This window comes from Homo sapiens, chromosome 6 (genome assembly GCF_000001405.40).
Source record: "Homo sapiens chromosome 6, GRCh38.p14 Primary Assembly".
Lineage (NCBI taxonomy): Eukaryota > Metazoa > Chordata > Mammalia > Primates > Hominidae > Homo > Homo sapiens.
The window spans coordinates 35,590,594-35,609,296 of NC_000006.12; the positions used below are offsets into that span (position 1 = coordinate 35,590,594).

Here is an 18,703-nt window from a genome sequence, read left to right on the forward strand (position 1 = left end):
AAAAAAAAATGGCTTCGGGTTAGCTGCTTTCTTTCTTGTATCTCTGGTCACAGAGCCTAGTGGCCCTCGAGGACTTGCAGTTGGGATAACAACTTGGAGCCACAGTGCAGGCCTCTTCGTGACTCCTGTGAAGGGTACAATCCGTTCAGCTCTGAAAAGCTGCACCCCACTCCCCCAAGGAGCCACTTGGCAGAACGTGAACCTTTCTGTCCTCAACCCAGGAAAAAAAAAGTACAAAAAGAACAAGTCTAGGAACAAATAAGGGAACAAGTCTTGGATTCTACCCAAAAAAGTTAAAAAAAAAAAAAAAAGCTGACACATAGGAACAAAATAAGAACACGGAGCTCCTTCGTTGTATATCAGCTGTGCTATGTCAGTTGTTCTATTCTTCAGCAGCAGTGTTGGAGGCAAGAGACAAACTTGATAATGAATAAACACCATCTATCTATACCACCTACTAAGATAAGATACTGATTTATAGGAAGTGGATGGAGAAGAAACCTACCATAATTTTAAGGAAGTTGGTATTTTCTCACCTTTTCGAAGCTCTTAAGTGTAACTTCATATATAAGCTCAGCATTAGGTTCAATGCCAAATTTAGGCTTCCCTGCCTCTCCAAAACCATATCTGAAATGGAGAGTAAAAAATAAAACTTTAAAAGGATTGGTGTATTTCCAGGCACTTCCTTCAGTATTTTGAGGCATCAACAGAGCTATCATTTGCAAGCTACATGTGTCAGAGACCCTGAAGACAAACCAGATGTTGACCAGAAGATACAGTGTGAAGTATCTTCACTGCTACAGTTTTCTTAGAAACCAGGCTAGGTTTAGTTTTCTTTTCTCCTTCACATTCACATGTAATGCAACACCTGTACTCCTTGGGGCAGCTTGATTCATGGGATTTTAAATGTCACTGTCTTTTTCTCTACTTGATTTCATATCTAGTTTTTTTTTTTTAATAAAATGGCCATGATTTAGCTGCCAGGAATTTTCCCCTAAGTTTTATCAGCAAAAAGGACAGAGAAGACACAGCCACTGTAATTGTTAGAGTGGTACTCACGGGAGGTATGTTTTAATAAGCTTTTAACTTTAAAGTGCTGTCACTTCTAGTAGTACCACTTCCAGTCACATAAGTGAAGGGGAAAGGCTCACACATCAGGAGAGAAAAGTTTTCACACTATTTAAGTTTTTTTAAAAGCACATGAAGAAACACAAATAACATAATGATATACTCAAAAATAGCTGCCCTAGCAAGTTCTGACACCTCCTCTAGAGAAATATTCTTATGGCTTATAGCTATCAGAGTGTAGGATTCTATACCTTTTAGCCAAAACTTACTGAAAAAAATAACTGAGGACATATACATTTGTTTTCTTGGGATCATGTAAGATCTCCAGCAAATTAAATGTATTCGGGAAGCAGATATTTACTAGAATGGGAGCTGTAGCAGAGCTCTGTCTGGTTCACCTGTTTCCCAGTGTTTGTTTAGAACAAGGCCCAGCATATTAGTCAAGTGTTCACTGAAATATATTATGTTCCCATTTGTTGCAAGCAAAGCTGTTCTTTAATATATGAAATGGTATTACAAAAAACTTAGTAAACTCAAGCTTTCAAGGTACAGGTTGAAAGATGTCAAAACCGACTTAATCTAATACCTCCAGTTTTCTCTGGGGCAAAGGGACTAGAGTGGGAACACTCAAATTTTGTTGCTTGCACCACTTTCTTTACCCTTTGCCTGGATTTTCCAGGAATAAAAATGCTTACTCACTCACCTCCACTGTTACACAGAAAATGGAAGCTGGAGCCAAAAAGAGGAATAGAGATACGAGAGCTGGTAGGAATGAGGAGCGGGGCAAAGGGTATCTTCCACAAAGACATAATTACCAGTGACCAATTTTAAGAAGTGATGCCTAATTTTCTACTTTGAGCTCTTAGATGTATATACCTACTACCTTGTTTCTGCCATCTAATAAATTTTAAAAAAATTCCTTAACTACCCAGGTAGGTAGGTGAGTCCTTGCTAAGCACATATTTTCTGAGAGCATGTTATATTTGGAGTCCTGTGCTAAGCAGTTGCAAATGCAACAAATGATCTGGCATTTGCCTTAGACCAGCAGATCTCAACCAGGTTGATTTTAACTCCTCTTCCCTCCAGGAAACCTTTGGCAATGTCTAGAAATATTATGGGTTGTCACAACTATGGGGGTGCTACTGGTATCTGGTGGGAAGAGGCCAGGAATACTGCTGGATATTCTACAATGCACGTGACAGCCCCCTATGACCAAGGATTAGCAAGCCCAAAGTGTCAACAGTGCTGAGGATGAGAAAATCTGCCTGTGGGGAATGTGGGGCTGTATCAAGGGAGGCACCAAGTGTCCTATTATTGATGGGATTAAAGAAGACTAAAGAAAAATATTATTTCTACAATCTCTCCCAGGTTAAAATGAAGCGATTCAGTCAAGATACGTGTGGCGCACATGATCCTGCAGAGGTGGAAGCCCACGCCAAGATATTCTGGCAGCACCTACCCTGACTTCCATATTACACAGAAAGTTGTCAGCCTGGGTGAAGAAGGAACCAGGGCACCCAACTCATCTGACTGAAAAACAAAACACCACAAGAGGAATCCCAAGACCTAACCAAAAGATAATCTAGACTATGGTAACAGAAGGAATTCAGCGTTAATGCCCTTGAATTAAGAGTTTCCTCCAGAGAATAGAGATACAAATAATGACTATGAATGACCATTAAGCCTTAATGTGCATATAAGAAGCACTTGGACTACAAGCTCTTACCAATTGCTCCCTTTTTGCAGATAAAGACACAGAGTGCTTCCTGAGAAGTCACACACAGGCAGTGGTAGAGCCAGGTTTAAATTCAGACCCTGTGTGTCCCCAGAAAATCAGGTTTTTTGGACTCATACTGCCTCATAACTAGACATTATGGCTCTTGGTAGTCTGTTTTTTTATTTTTATTTTTGAGACAAGAGTTTCACTCTGTCACCCCAGGCATCGTGCAGTGGCATGATCTCAGCTCACTGCAACCTCCGCCTCCTGGGTTCAAGCGATTCTCCTGCCTCAGCCTCCCGAGTAGCCGGAATTACAGGCATGCACCACCACGCCCAGCTAATTTTTATATTTTTAGTAGAGACGGGGTTTCACCATGTTGGCCAGGCTGGTCGCGAACTCCTGACCTCAAGTGATCCTCCCGCCTCGGCCTCCCAAAGTGCTGGGATTACAGGTGTGAGCCACCTTGCCTGACCAATAGCCTGTGTTTTTGTTTGGGGTTCATGCGTGACAGAAACATAAGGAAAGGACGGAAAAAAAAGTTAAAACTATATACACTTGACCTAAAACAAAAAAGATTTATTAGTCTCAGTATTTAAAACAATACAAAGGGAAGATATTGTCCCAATGAGGAGAAAGAAAAATGGATTGTCTGGAAATGTTTTATGACTTTCTTATTATGAAGACATTCTAGGCCAGGTGTGGTGGCTCACACCTGTAATCCCAAGCACTTTGGGAGGCTGAGGCTGGAGGACTGCTTGAGCCCAAGAGTTTGAGACCAGCCTGGACAACATAGTAAGACCCTGTTTCTACAAAATGAAAAAAATCAGCCAGGCAGGATGGAGCACACCTGTAGTCCCAGCTACCCAGGAGCTTGAGGTGGGAGGATCCCTTGAGCCCAGGAGTTCGAGGCTACAGATTATGCCACCCTACTCCAGCCTAGGTGAAAGTGAGACCCTGTCTCGGGGGGTGGGGGAGGGACAGAAAGAAAACATTCTTCCCGAGAGTCTATCAGAGTATCAGAGTCACAGAGAAGGTCTGCCTTGGAAATTTTCTGGAGAATGAAATACAGATGACACTAAGAGCTATTTGCAGATATTTTCTGCAACAGCCATACTTATAGCAACATTTAGATGCAATGTTTTATGAAAGTGGGAAGCTGAATAAAACAAGTAAATTCACTGCCTGCACTGAAAACATGCTTAGCATGTAGGGGTTTTCTATACACACACACAGCATGCATACACACACACATATATAGCATGTAGGGGGTTTTCTATACACACAGTATGCATACGCACACACATATATAGCATGTAGGGGTTTTCTACATATATATGTAGTACTACGCAATGCATATGCAGCAGTCTCATATTACAGAGAATGCACTTCACATAATTCTCCAACATACCAACACCTTGAACAAAAATAATGTTCCTTTCTAAATATGCTAAATTATTTCCATAAAACTCATAAACTTTTATACCTAGAAATTTATGAAAACCTATTGACAACTTTTATGCCTGAAAAGATCTGAAAGATTGATCTCATGTTAAACAGGATTTCCTTTTTCTTGTGGTCCGAGGGTAAAATGGAAGAGAAGGTGAGCCGTCACAATAGCAACAAAAGCTCACACACTGCGGGCTCATGTGTGCCCTATATGTGCAGGATTTTATTTAGCTCTCCATAACTTTATGAGATGGATACTGTCATCCCCATTTACAGAGGGGAAACTGAAGCTTAGGAGGGTTAAGTGCCTTGGCCAAGCGCACAGAGCAAAGTGTAACCACTAATGATACAACAAACAGTTTAAATCTGTAAAGAACTGTTTGCGTTAAAAAATTTAAAGACAATTTCTATTTTTCTTTGTCACTAAACTTGAGACATCTGTCCCCACAATTGCCTTGTCAGCCAGGCTAAAATGTAATGTATATAAACTGGTTCCTATAACATTATGTTGTCATAATACATACAGAATTTATCCTAAGGGAGCTTAAATTTTGAAAATATACATTACACATAAATCCACCTCTCTGAGTTTAGAACTACTGTAATTTTGAAATGCTGATTAAAAGTAATCAGAGATGGCCTGGCGCAGTGGCTCATGCCTGTAATCAATCCCAGCACTTTGGGAGGGTGAGACAGGCGGATCACTTGAGTCCAGGAGTTGGAGACCAGCCTGGGCAACATGGCAAAACCCTGTCTCCACAAAAAATACAAAAAGTAGCCGGGTGTGGTGGCACACACCTGTAGTCCCAGCTACTCTAGAGACTGAAGTGGGAGGATCACCTGAGCCCTGGAGGTTGAGGCTACAGTGAGCGTGACTGTGCCACTGCACTCTAGCCTGGGCGACAGAGTGAGATCCTGTTACCAAAAAAAAAAAAGTAATTAGAGATTATTTGGATATGGAAGAGATAGCTTTTTCTATGCTCTATCTGAATTTTAAGGAGTATCTCCTAGAAACAGAATTAGTTTCACCTAAGAATAAACTACAAATATAGAGTAAATATTAATATAAATAAGACACATTGAAGTGGGGGCTATAGTTAGTGGAAAGAGGAACCAGGTAGAGAAAAAGAAGCCATTATACAAAGGGTGCCTCAGTGACGGCTATGAAGAGTTCAAGGTAGAGCACTTTGGAAGGATTTTCAAGTGGTAGTTGCATGGCTAGATCACCTCAAAAATATGATTATGGGCTGGGCGTGGTGGCTCACACCTGTAATCCCAGCACTTTGGGAGGCTGAGGCGGGAGGATCACTTGAAGTCAGGCGTTTGAGACCAGCCTGGCCAAAATGGTGAAACCTCGTCTCTACTAGAAATACAAAAATTAGACAGGCATGGTGGCGGGTGCCTGTAATGCCAGCTACTCGGGAGGCTGAGGCAGGAAAATTGCTTGAACCCAGAGGTAGAGGTTGCAGTGAGCCAAGATCATGCCACTGCACTCTAGCCTGGGTGGCAGAGCAAGACTCCATCTCAAAATATATATATATATGATTATGGATCAAGTGCTGGGGCAAAGGTAAACTGCCATTGGATTACTACAGAGTCTATAAAATGACACCACAAAAGGCTTAACATCACCTACTGGCAAGTGCAGGTCATCAAGATTCTCAGTAACTCAGAATCCCACTGTCTGAAATCCATGGAGCCGGAGGGAGGATACACTAGATAAGCAGATGCACTCTCATGCAGACAAAATCAAAACACCCCGGGTTCTCTCAGGGGTCTGTTTCTCAAGACAGAAGAGTTGGATTCATGGTATAATTTTAGATCTAAAAATACTACTAAACATGTTTTCACAAGAGAGACTGTCAGTGTCTGATGGTTCTAAGCTTGAAAGTGCTAATGGATATCCTTATGATGGGAAAAACTTAGACAAAAAATGAGTCATCTCTGTTGCCTTTAGATCCAGGAAGAATGTGCTTTTTTTTTCAGGGACTCTGTATAAGAACAAGTGGCACAAGTTCAAGTGGTAGTAAATCATCCAAATGCTTCTTTGACTCCCAACCCCCATGTTTTCCTGCCTCCTGCCTAACTTAGAGAAAAGGGAAGAGGGGGTAAGAGAACCACATATGAGAGGGGTCCATAGCTGCCTGTCTTGGCAATACTGCAGGCAAAACAAATCATCACAAAAGCAAAAAGTGGCTGTAAGACCTGTTCTGAACATATATCAATCAAGTAAACATGCTCACAAACCTCTATGATATTGTAAGGCCCATTAATTTACGTGATGACTAACTGCAGCCTGATTTAATTGTTTCCGTTGTTGGATTAACTTCACTGAAAATGCCAAAACACTGAATGAAAAAGCAAGCATATCCCTGTCCTTTAGGTGACTTCACTGTGTTCCAAACTGGTATGCTGCTTACCTTGGTCCAAGATATAAAATACATTGTTCTTCCCGCTGCATTTTCTCCAGAGCTTTGTCAATTCCAATTGGAATGTCGTGGTCTTCTCCTTCGCCCACAGTGAATGCCACATCTCTGCAGTCAAACATCCTTCCACCACAGCGGCCTTCCAGGTGGACTGAGGGCAAGGAGACAGGAGAGTCAACAGAGCTGCTTCTTAGGACTGGCTAATTCAGTGAAGTGATAAATGAGTGGTCGACAATGTAGCAAATACCATTTCCCCTTTCTCATTTCATCAAGAGACACACACAGTGTGTCTTGGTGAAGCTTAGTCTACCCAGTCTGAAAGTTTAGGAGCAACCATATTTCTAAATTAAACTTGTAATTACTGATATTTGTATCAATAAGACAGTTTAGTGGGTAACAAACCAGAAACACAGGTTTATTCTAAGCCTACTATGTGACAGAAGTTTCCTCACCTATAATACAAAGTCAAGAGATGCTGAATTATTTAATAAAGTTATCAAATGCCACAAATTTAATATCAAATATATAAACATCTGTAACTGCATCTTGGCTTCAGATGCTTGGGCCAAAAAGCCAACTAAATGGCTATTTCTCCAATGATATACAAAGATTAAATGAATACAGATGCTCCTTCTTCTTTAAGAGTCCTAATCTCATTCACAAATATATCTGAATAAAAATGGTAAATCCAAAGACAACAACATCAATAACTATCTTAGCTATATCCCTTACTGGAAATAATAAATGTAAAGTGTGAAAGAATCAATAGTCTACTATAACTTCACAAATCAAATTACTTAATAACCTCCCCTGAAATATTAGGAGGTCAATTTTGGGAGGCCTAATTCCCCGTTCCACCCCAATTTACCAAGCTCTTTCCCAGAGTAATTTCATATTAAAATAAGAGGCTTTTTCTCATATTTTAAGACAAAATAGAAAAAATGCATACAGATATCTATTTTTTCTTGATGAGTTAGACTTTTTTGAGACGCAGTCTTGCTCTGTCTCACCCAGGCTGGAGTGCAGTGGCGTGATATCTGCTCACTGCAGCCTCCACTTCCTGGGTTCAAACAATTCTCCTGTCTCAGCCTCCGAAGTAGCTGGGATTACAGGTGTGTGCCACCACACCCAGCTAATTTTGTTATTTTTAGTAGAGACAGGGTTTCACCATGTTGCCCAGGCTGGTCTCGAACTCCTGACCTCAGGTGATCCACCCGCCTCAGCCTCCCAAAGCGCTGGGATTACAGGTATGCGCCACCAGGTCTGGCCTAGACTCTTTATTTCTAGGAAAAACAATTCTCTGAAACTTTACAACTACTTTTAATATTAAGGGTATTCTATTTTAAGTTTTTGATGTAATAAGAAAAATGGATGGCTGGTATGACAGCATAACAGTCACCAAGCAATATGATAATTTGGATTTCATAAGAAAATCCTGACTGGGCGCGGTGCTCACGCCTGTAATCCCACACTTTGGGAGGCCGAGGCGGGTGGATCACCTGAGGTCAGGAGTTTGAGACTAGCCTGGCCAACATGGCAAAACCCCATCTTTACTAAAAATACAAAAAATAGCCAGGTGTGGTGGCACGTGCCTGTAATCCCAGCTACTTGGGCTGAGGCACAAGAATCACTTGAGCCTGGGAGGCGGAGGTTGCAGTGAACTGAGATTGCGCTACTGCACTCCAGCCTCCAGCCTGGGCAACAGAGGGAGACTCCATCTCAAAATAAATAAAAAAATAAATAAATAAAAATAAAAAAGAAAGAAAATCCTTTATTCCTACTTCTGTAACATAATAGCCTATATTCAAATCTAGAGATTTCCTAAAATGCTTCTTTTCTAACACTGGCTGATCTACTTTACTTTAGATCAACAACTTGTAGAGAGACTAAAAATCACTCGTTCTGTTATACTCATTCCATGCCCAATAAAACAACTATTACCTTCCAAATAAAAATTCAAATCTAACTTATTCTACTTTTGAACTACATGATCTCAATGAAGCTCTAAAATTCTATGATTCTATGACCTGGTAATATCACTCTCAATATCAATATAGTCCAGAAACCAGCTTCAAATCTAATTCCTGCAGTTAATAATTTAATTGAATTACCCCTAGCCCAGGCCTGAGAAATGAGAAAAACTGAAGAATGAACAGAAATGGTGTAGACACTAGGGGCCGAAATGTCCCCTGGACATTTATGCTCTAAAGCGTTCTACCCTTTTCTTCTCTTTTTTCGATTTGCTAAATCTTCTCTGTATTGTTCCAATTTTAGTATATGTGCTGCCGAAGTGAGTACTCACTACTCTTTTTTAACTCACCAGTATTAATACCATCTTGATGTGTTCCCCTTGCAGACACAGAATGGGGTCTAAGAAACTTGGGCCAAACTAGAAAGGGCCTAACTCTTGAGTCAGCTCCTCCAAACAAGGGCTAGAGTTGGAGTGGCTTGGTAGAGCTCGCATATGGCATTTTAGTTTATGTCCCACACTCATAAATGCTGATAATTCCTTCTGTTAGACTTACTTTTAGAATGCTCTAGATAAAATTAACTTGTAGCAAATTGAAAGTTCATTCTGAATTGGAAAACATTTAAAAAATAAATTCAAATTTAAACTTTTTCAAATACAGTCACGCTTCACTTAAGGATGGGGATACATTCTGAGAGATGTGTCATCAGGTATTCTCATCACTGTGGGAACATCTTAGAATGTTCTTACACAAATCTAGATGGAACAGCCTACTATAACCTCGGCTAAGTGGTATAGCATATTGCTCCTAGGCTATAAATCTGTATAGCATGTTATTGTACTGAATATTGTAGGCAACTGTAACACAATGGTAAGTACTTGTGTATCTAAACATTGAGAAGGTAAAGATATGGAATTATAATCTCACGGGACCACTGTCCTATGTGCAATCTGCTGTTAAACAAAATGTTATGCAGCATATGACTGTACATGCATACTAGAGAGGTTCTACAGGGAGTCTGAGGCTTAAGATATTTTTACTGAATTCGCTGAGGGTGGTGACGCACACCTATAAGTCCCAGCTACTCGAGAGGCTGAGGTGGGAGGATTGCTTGAACCTAGGAGTTCCAGGCTGCAGTGAGTTGTTATTGCGGCACTGTAATCTAGCCTGGGTGACAGAGTGAGACCGTCTCAAAAAAAAAAAGATATTTTTACTGGAGTAAAAATTGATATTTCTAAGGAGGTTAAGAGTTCTAAAAAGTTTGCATTTCTAAATATTTAAAACTCTGCCCAAGAAATTTAGACTAATAACACTTTTCATAAAAAAAAAAAAGATTTGCTGAGCAAAGTAAATTTCTCATGTATTGTGGAATGTCTCAAGTATAGAGATTTATTGTCCTAGTAGCTCACAACTTAGTTAACAGATTTTTTTTGTCTGAAGTTTATTGTTGGAAGTATCATCTTCCTCCCTTAAGGAGAGTACATTTAGTGGGGGAGGAAATTATCAGTACATTTGTTGTGGCTTTTGGTTGATCAAGTTTGAATGTTTTCAAAACAGGAAATCCAGAGACTCTGCAAGGATTCCTGCCTGTGCGTTAGTTTCCTAGGCTGTTTTTCAGCTTGATGTATGTACTTGATATTAAAATTAAATGAGTAATTTCAGAAGTTCTCTTTAGATGTGATAACCCATCATTAGTGAGGGAAAAAGATTGGCTACTAATAAACATGTTGGGAAAGATAAATGAAGTAACCATGCCAAAAAAAAGTCAAACTGTAACAAAGGCATAATTAAGAAAGCAAAACATTCATTGTAGCTAGTCTTCTCAGAGAGACAATAAATGACAGAACTAGTGTCTGATGCTGTAATAGGACAGTAAACATTTGTGATAGCTCTTATAAATATTTTCTACTTTACATGTGGACTAATCTTTTTTTTCCTGGTAAATCTAACCCTTCACAATTGGACCCTGCAGTACTATAAAATCTTAAACGGATATACATCCAGACATATACACCCCAGTTTATATAAAAAACCAAAACCATCGCCTTGTAATACTGACAACATTCGGAATGTCAGAGTAAAAGGAGGTATCACAGCCTCATGGTGAATACAGCCCATTGATTCTCTACATCTACAAGTAGCAAAGGGCATTGCTGGGTTAACTGGTTTCTAAACTTGGAACACTGATGTGAAAAGTTCTACGAGACTGCTGACAAGAACTCACACACCACTTGGAGCCACGGAAAGACTGCTGATTGCCACAGTAGGGGCCCTGATTGCAGTAACAGATGCAGATGAGCCTAGCTCCTATAGCTCCACTTATTCTTTTTAATGTTATCTTAAAAATTCCTACCAAAACAAAACAGAACAAAAACCATGGCAGCTCTGGCTGTGGAAGCCCTGTGGTTGCTTTTTGACCTGGCATCTTTTAGTGCAAATACTAACTTAATAAATATTTAATAATAACCATCGTGACTCACTGGGAGTGCAGCCTGTAGGGCTCAGGAGGTCTGTTGCTAATCCCAACCAGCATGATTTACGGGAAGTAAATCATCTATGACATGCCCAAAGAGAATAAAAGTACATACAGGATGCTTCTACTTAGGGCTTTTTTGGTAGAGAAAGAAATAAACAAGTTAAAAAGAGACAACATTTTTTTCTTGACTTAAAGACTATGTAACTTAAAGGGGGAGGGAGGTCCTCCAAATCCCCACAAAGTCAAACCAAACCAAATTACCCAAGCTTAGCTGCGCAATCGGAGTGTAACCACATCAAGCGAGCTGCAAAACATCACTTAAACTGGAGCTCTGACTTATTGTTCTCTTACTGCCCTAGAGCAATTTTGTTTTGAAGAGCACAGAACACCCTGTTCTGAATGTGGCTGGCACATGAACTCGATGTGCTGACAGCAATTTGTACTCCGATTAAAATAGGGGGGAAAAAAGGAAAGAGAGTGCACAGCAGTAACAAAAATGAAATGCAAGAACCCCTAAACCATGCAATTTGTATTTTAGGAAGCAAAACTGAGAAAGAGGCTCCATAACTTAAAAAACAAAAAACAAAAAGCTGTAAATGCTCCAGCCTAAAGACATTAGCTCTGGTAAGTGTCTATTTTTCCCTTTTCTAATTATAGTAGTTGGTGTCTGATAGCTTTGCACTCATTCTCAAAACAATTACTGGGTCATGAGGATCTGAATGGGAATGTTGTAATGGCATTACTACTCGACAAGACTGGTTATCTGGCCAGAGAAAACCAGGTTGTGACAGGTTACTCCCACTGAGCAAGAGTTTTCTCTGTTGCCTAATTCATGCCAAGTGAGCTTCTTTCTGCCTGTGTCTCCTGCCTAATAGAGCACAGTATCCAAGAGAGTAGGATCTTAATAACCCCCTGAAAAAGCAAGCAGAGATGGCTTTCTAAAAGCAGGAGAACAAGAGAAATACTTCCAACACGCATGGTGGTCAGATTTCCCCTAAGCTGTCCGCCTTCCTCCTCTGCACTGTTTTGTACTACTTAGGATGAACACACACCACTGTAAGATTGCTTACAGAACTGACGGACAGATGCTAACAGGCGTGGAACCTGGCTCCTGGAACTGAATAACATTTATGCAAATGATTTCTTTTGGTTGATCAAGTTTGAATGTTTTCAAAACAGGAAATCTAAACAAGAAGTATACACCCAGCAACAAATTCTCCATGAACACCAACCCTTACCAGTCTTCCCTTCACACCACTATAGCACTTGAGTTAGACCTGGATTCCAGTCCCATTCTGCCACTTCAATTATGACTTTGGGCAAGGTAATTAAAGTGATCTGAAGCTCAGTTTCTTCACTGATAGAATGTGGATAATACACTAGCTAAATGATAATTGTTGAGAGGATTAAATTAGATACTGAATTAGAGCTTTTAATCTAGCACCTGATATTCATTCATTCATTCATTCATATGTCAGGGTGTCTATCATGTGAAAATGCTGTTGTTAAGTGTGGATATACAGAGACAAACTAAAGGAATGTTAGCTATAATTATTTTCCTGTGCCTAGTGGTAAATTATACCAGATTAAACATGTTTTAGAGCTCTGTGTAAGAAAACATTTACTGGTTCAACACAGAAAGCTGTCAAAGTATGAATAAAATTCTTAGTAGGCAAAGGCAGTATCTTGTACTTCTTTTGTGCCTCACAGTACCCAGCACAGAGTTCAGGGCCAGCAAGTAAATATTTATTTAATGACTAATCTTAAAATAGGGCATTAAGGACAGGGTGGTAATTTTCACTAATTTATACAAATTTTCCTTTTTGAATCTATTAGTATTCCTATTTTAATAAATTCTAGGAAGCTATACAAATTTTATATTGATATGGAAACTTTGTTTTTTAATACTATTCTAAAATAAATGGCCAATTGGCTGGAATTTTTTTTTTTTTTGTAACAACAACAACAGCAGCAGCAGCAACAAAAGACTGTTTTCTTTCTTTTTTTGAGACAGAGTCTCGTTCTGTTGCCCAGGCTGGAGTGTAGTGGCGTGATCTTGCCTCACTACAACCTTCACTTACTGCAACCATCTGCCTCCCGAGTTCAAGGACTTCTTGTGCCTCAGACTCCCAAGTAGCTGGGACTACAGGCCCGCACCACCATGCCCAGCTAATTTTTGTGTTTTTAGTAGAGATGGGGTTTCGCCATGTTGGCCAGGCTGGTCTTGAACTCCCGACCTCAAGTGATCCTCCAGCCTTGGCCTCCCAGAGTGCTGGGATTACAGGTGTGAGCCACCGTGCCCGGCCTCTTTATTGTTTTTGTTTTGAGTTGGGGGTCTCACTTTGTTGCCCAGCCTGGAGTGCAGTGGTGTGATCATGGCTCACTGCAGCCTCACACTCCTGGACTCAAGCTACTCTCCTTCCTCAGCCTCCCTAGTAGCTGGGACTACAGGCACACACCACCACGCCTGGCTATTTTGTTGTTGTTGTTGTTAAGAATGGGGTCTCACCATGTTGCCAGGCTGGTCTTGTACTCCTGGCCTCAAGCAACCCTCCCACCTTGGCTTCCCGAAGTGTTGGGATTACAAGCGTGAGCCACCATGGCTGGCCAGAAAGACTTATTTTCTACTATGATTTTATTCTACCTGAAGACTTGAAGATAACTTTTTGGAAGAAAGAAATTATATAAATCCAAAATATTTGAAAGAATAAACACTGGCCACTTTAGACCAAGTACCATATTACATTATTTTGTGAAAACATATAATAAAATGGTTTCAAGAATTTGCTCCTATTCCTAGACTTATATCCCAGGACATTCATAAATACTTCAAAAGCATATGAAAAACAAAAATGTAAAGTCTCACAGCTCCATCAGATCTCAATATGGGCAGACGTAATCTTTCCTCTATTTTCAATTTTTGGTACCTTTTTGATTTTAGTGTTTCATTTATAAAGAACACATAGCTAGATACTGTTGTTGTTCTCACTTTATGAGACCTTTTGCCTTTAATAGGTGACTTTATCCCATTCATATTTTTTGTAATCACTGATATGAGTGGTTTTATTCTTGTCTTTGGTTTTCTACACAGTGTTTTCTTTTTTTTTTTGAGATGGAGTCTCGCTCTGTTGCCCAGGCTGGAGTGCAGTGGTGTGATCTCGGCTCACTACAACCTCCACCTCCCGGGTTCACGCCATTCTCCTGCCTCCCAAGTAGCTGGGACTACAGGCGCCCGCCACCATGCCCAGCTAATTTTTTGTATTTTTAGTAGAGATGGGGTTTCACCATGTTAGCCAGGATGGTCTCGATTCCTGACCTCGTGATCCACGTGCCTCGGCCTCCCAAAGTGCTGGGATTACAGGCGTGAGCCACCGTGCCCGGCCCGTGTTTTCTTATTTTTTAAAACAATTTTTGCTCAATTGATGAAGTTTTCCTTGTTCCTCTATTTCCCCACTCCACATGGGGTGATTTGGAAATTCTACATGCTATTCTTACTAGTACTTTCCATTAAAGTCTGAACAAATCATTTAAAGATATATATATATACCTCTTTATCAATGTTCAGAATCAATCAGCATAAAGCATTCAATAAAATCCAACATCCCTTCATTATAAAAAACCCTCAATAAACTAAGCATCAAAGGAACATACTTCAAAATAATAAGAGCCACCTATGACAATATCTTTTTTTTTTTTTTTTTTTTTTTTTTTTTTGAGACAAGGTCTTATTCCATTGCCCAGGCTGGAGTGCAGTGGTGCAACCATAACTCACCGAAGCCTGTATCACCCAGGCTCAAGTGATCCTCCTGCATCAGCCTCCCAAGTAAGCTGGGACTACAGGTGCATGCCACTATGTGTGGCTAATTTTTTTTATTTTTAGTAGAGACAAGGTTTCACTATGCTGCCCAGGCTGGTCTTGAACTCCTAGGCTCATGCAATCCTCCTGCCTCGGCCTTCCAAAGTCTTGGGATTACAGGTGTGAACCACTGCACCCAGCCGTCAATATCATACTGAACGGGCAAAAGTTGGAAGCATTCCGCCTAAGAACTGGAAAAAAACAGGGTGTCCACTCTTAACAACTCCTATTCAGCATGGTACTGAGCCACAGCAATCAGTATGCGGCAAGTCCTAGCCTGAGCAATCAGGCAAGAGAAAGAAATAAAAGGCATCCAAATAGGAAACCAGACGTCTACCTCTCACCATATACAAAAACAAACTCAAGATGGATTAAAGGCTTAAATGTAAGGCCTGAAACTATATAAATCCTAGAAGAAAAGCTAGAAAATACTCTTCTGGACATTGCCTAGGCAAATAATTTATGATTAAGTCCCCAAAATCAAATGCAACAAAAAGAAAAACTGACAGTTGGGACCTAATTAAAGAGCTTCAGCACAGCAAAATAAGCTATCAACGAAGCAGATGGACAAACTACAGAATGGGAGAAAACATTTGCAAATTATGCATCTGACAAAGGACTAATATCCAGAAAAGAACTTAAACAAATCAACAAGAAAAAAGCAAATAGCCCCATTAAAAAGTAGGCAAAGGACACGAAGAAGCAGCCAACGAACATGAAAAAATGCCGAACATCACTAATCATCAGAGAAATGCAAATCAAAACCACAATGAGATACCATCTCACAACTGAGTCAGAATGACTATTAATAAAAAGTCAAGGCCGGGCGCTGTGACTCATGCCTTTAATCCCAGCACTTTGGGAGGCCGAGGCAGGCAGATCATGAGGTCAGGAGATCGAGACCATCCTGTCTAACACGGTGAAACCCCGTCTCCACTAAAAATATTTTAAAAAATTAGCCGGGCGTGGTGGTGGGCGCCTGTAGTCCCAGCTACTCGGGAGGCTGAGGCAGGAGAATGGCGTGAACCTGGGAGGCGGGAGTTGCAGTGAGCCAAGATCGCGCCACTGCACTCCAGCCTGGGCAACAGAATGAGACTCCGTCTCAAAAAAAAAAAAAAAAAAAAAAAAAAAAAAAAAAAAAGTCAAAAAAGAACAGATGTTGGCAAGGTTGTGGAGAAAAGGGAATGCTTAAACAGTGTTGATGAGAATGGAAATTAGTTCAGCTCCTGTGGAAAGCAGTTTTGGAAATTTCTCGAAGAACTAAAAATCAAAGTACCATTTGACCCAGCAATCCCATTACTGGGTATACAACCAAAGGAAAATAAATCGTTCTATCAGAAAGATAGCTGGCATTTACACTGACATGTTTACTGCAGCATTGTTTGTGTGTTTGTTTGTTTTTTGAGACAGAGTCTCACTCTGTTGCCCAGGCTGGACTGCAGTGGCAGAATCTCAGCTGACTACAACCTCCACCTCCCAGGTTCAAGCAATTCTGCCTCAGCCTCCCAAGTAGCTGGGACTACAGGCGCCCACCACCACACCCAGCTAATTTTTGTATTTTTAGTAGAGGCAGGGTTTCACCATGTTGGCCAGGCTGGTCTTGAACTCCTGACCTCAAATGATCCACCCACCTCAGCCTCCCAAAGTGCTAGGATTACAGGCATGTGCCACCACGCCCAGCCTGTTTTGTTTTGAGACAGGGTCTCGCTTTGTTGCCCAGGTTAGACTGCAGTGGTATAAATGTGACTCAAATGATCCTCCCACTACAGCCTCCTGAGTAGCCGGCACTACAGGCATGCACCACCATGCTTGGCCTTTTTTTTTTTTCTGTAGAAATGGGGTCTTACTATGTTGCCCAGTTTGGTCTTAAACTCCTGGGCTCAAGTGACCATCCCACCTTGGCCTCCCAAAGTGCTGGGATTACAGGCATGAGCCACACACAGCACTTACTCTTAAGCACAGTTATATTCTTAATAGCAAAGACACGGAGTCAACCTAGGTGTCCATCAATGGTGGATTGGATAAAAATGTGGGCTTCCTTCTGCCACGGCCACCATTGGAGAGCAGCGGCCATGGCTCTGTGCTGCCCTATGGCCATGGGCCTCAACAAGGGCCACAAGGTGACCGAGAACATGAGGACGCCCAGGCACAGCCGCTGCTGCAGGCACCTGACCAAATATACCAAGTTCGTGCCGGACATGATCTGAGAGCTGTGTGGCTTCACCCCATACGAGCGGTGCACCATGGAGTTACTGAAGGTCTCCAAGGACAAATGGGCCCTCAAGTTCATCAAGACAAGGGTGGGGATGCACCAAGAGGAAGCAGGAGGAGCTGAGCAATGTCCTGGCCACCATGACAAAAGCCGCTGCCAAGGACTGAGCACTCTGCCCTGCCCTCTCTCCGAAATAAAGAATAGCTTGACAGACTTGAAATAAAAAAAAAAAAAGAAAATGTGGTACATATATACCATGAAATACTATGCAGCCATAAAAAAGAATGAAAGGATGTCCCCTACAGCAACACAGATGCAGCTGGAGGCCAGTAACCTAAGTGAATTAACACAGAAACAGAAAACCAAATACTGCGTGTTCTCACTTATAAGTAGGAGCTAAACCCTGAGTATACACAGACATAAAGATGAGGACAAGAGACACTGGGGACTCCAAAAGCAAAAAAGGATGGAGGGGTACAAGGGCTATATTCTATGTTCACTATCTGGATGATGGGTTCAATAGAAGCCCAAACCTCGGCATTACAGACAATATATCCATGTACCAAACTGGCACATGTCCCCCCTGAATCTTAAAATAAAAGAATTAATCAGCATAATCTCCCCTGGAACAAGAAATTAAGGCAGCTGGTTGTGGTAGTACACGAGCCTGTAATCTCAACTACTTGGGAGGCTGAAGCAGGCTGATCGCTTATGCCCTGGAGTTCAAGACCAGCTTGAGCAATATAGCAAGACCCCGTCTCTAAAAGGATAAAAAAAGTTAGCTGGGTGTGCACCTGCAGTTCCAGCTACTCCGGTGGCTGAGGTGGGAGGATGGCTTGAGGGCAGGAATTTGAGGCTGCAGTGAGCCACAACTGTGCCACTGCATGCCAGCCTGGGCAACAGAGCAAGACCTCATCTCCAAAAAATGTTTTAAAAAAGAAAATAATCTTAGACAATTTTGCCTTCCCCTCTTCATTTCCTATCCTCACCACCTTTTGTTAAAATAACCCAGAATCCAGACTGTTATTATTGTTTTATTATTATTATTATTATTTTGACACAGAGTCTCCCTCTGTCACCTAGGCAGTGGTACAATCTTGGCTCACTGCCACCTCTGTCTCCTGGGTTCAAGTGATTCTCCTGCCTCAGCCTCTTGAGTAGCTGGGATTATAGGCATGTGCCATCATGCCTGGCTAAATCTTGTATTTTTACTAGAGATGGGGTTTTGCCATGTTGGCCAGGCTGGTCTTGAACTCCTGGCCTCAAGTGACGCCCTCCCAAAGTGTAGGGATTACAGGTGTGGGCCACTGTGCCCAGGCCAGACTGTTTCATTATTAATATTACTTCTAACATTACAGCTCTACTGCTTCAGAGATCTTTCAGGATAAATGTATCCAATATGGAAATTATTTTTTTTTTCTCGCTACTGTTTCTTATGCCTTGAGTTGTTGCTTCTTGACTTATTTTTTTGTTTTGGTACATCCCACAGTATTTTTTTCGAAAAGAATATGAGTCTGCAAATTCCAAAA

General features: G+C 41.1%; 1 protein-coding gene and 1 pseudogene across 4 annotated transcripts in view, besides 3 other annotated features; one reads left to right on the forward strand and one right to left on the reverse strand.

The window, feature by feature from the left end:
* The window catches only part of FKBP5 (FKBP prolyl isomerase 5), a 154,994-nt gene that overhangs the window by 17,004 nt on the left and 119,287 nt on the right, over positions 1-18,703 (reverse strand). For 3 of the 4 annotated variants that reach the window (NM_001145775.3, NM_004117.4, NM_001145776.2), the window contains 2 exons: positions 6,655-6,811; positions 537-627 (listed from right to left, as the gene is read on the reverse strand). In NM_001145775.3, coding sequence (NP_001139247.1) covers positions 537-627; positions 6,655-6,811 — 248 coding nt within the window. The remainder of the gene's footprint in view (positions 1-536; positions 628-6,654; positions 6,812-18,703) is intronic. The other variant, NM_001145777.2, reaches the window with a different exon arrangement.
* Positions 365-565: a silencer, noted in NCBI's record as "peak5770 fragment used in MPRA reporter construct". NCBI's record gives its function as "represses an SCP1 promoter by STARR-seq MPRAs in K562 erythroleukemia cells {active_cell/tissue: K562}" and the evidence as "EXISTENCE:reporter gene assay evidence [ECO:0000049][PMID:32103011]".
* Positions 10,599-11,104: an enhancer, noted in NCBI's record as "OCT4-NANOG hESC enhancer chr6:35568969-35569474 (GRCh37/hg19 assembly coordinates)". NCBI's record gives its function as "activates a minimal SCP1, AML or CMV promoter by ChIP-STARR-seq in primed H9 embryonic stem cells {active_cell/tissue: H9 hESC(primed)}" and the evidence as "EXISTENCE:reporter gene assay evidence [ECO:0000049][PMID:30033119]".
* Positions 11,779-12,073: a silencer, noted in NCBI's record as "tiled region #13603; HepG2 Repressive non-DNase unmatched - State 5:Enh". NCBI's record gives its function as "represses a minimal TATA promoter and a strong SV40 promoter by Sharpr-MPRA in HepG2 cells {active_cell/tissue: HepG2}" and the evidence as "EXISTENCE:reporter gene assay evidence [ECO:0000049][PMID:27701403]".
* Positions 17,000-17,387, forward strand: RPL36P9 (ribosomal protein L36 pseudogene 9; annotated as a pseudogene).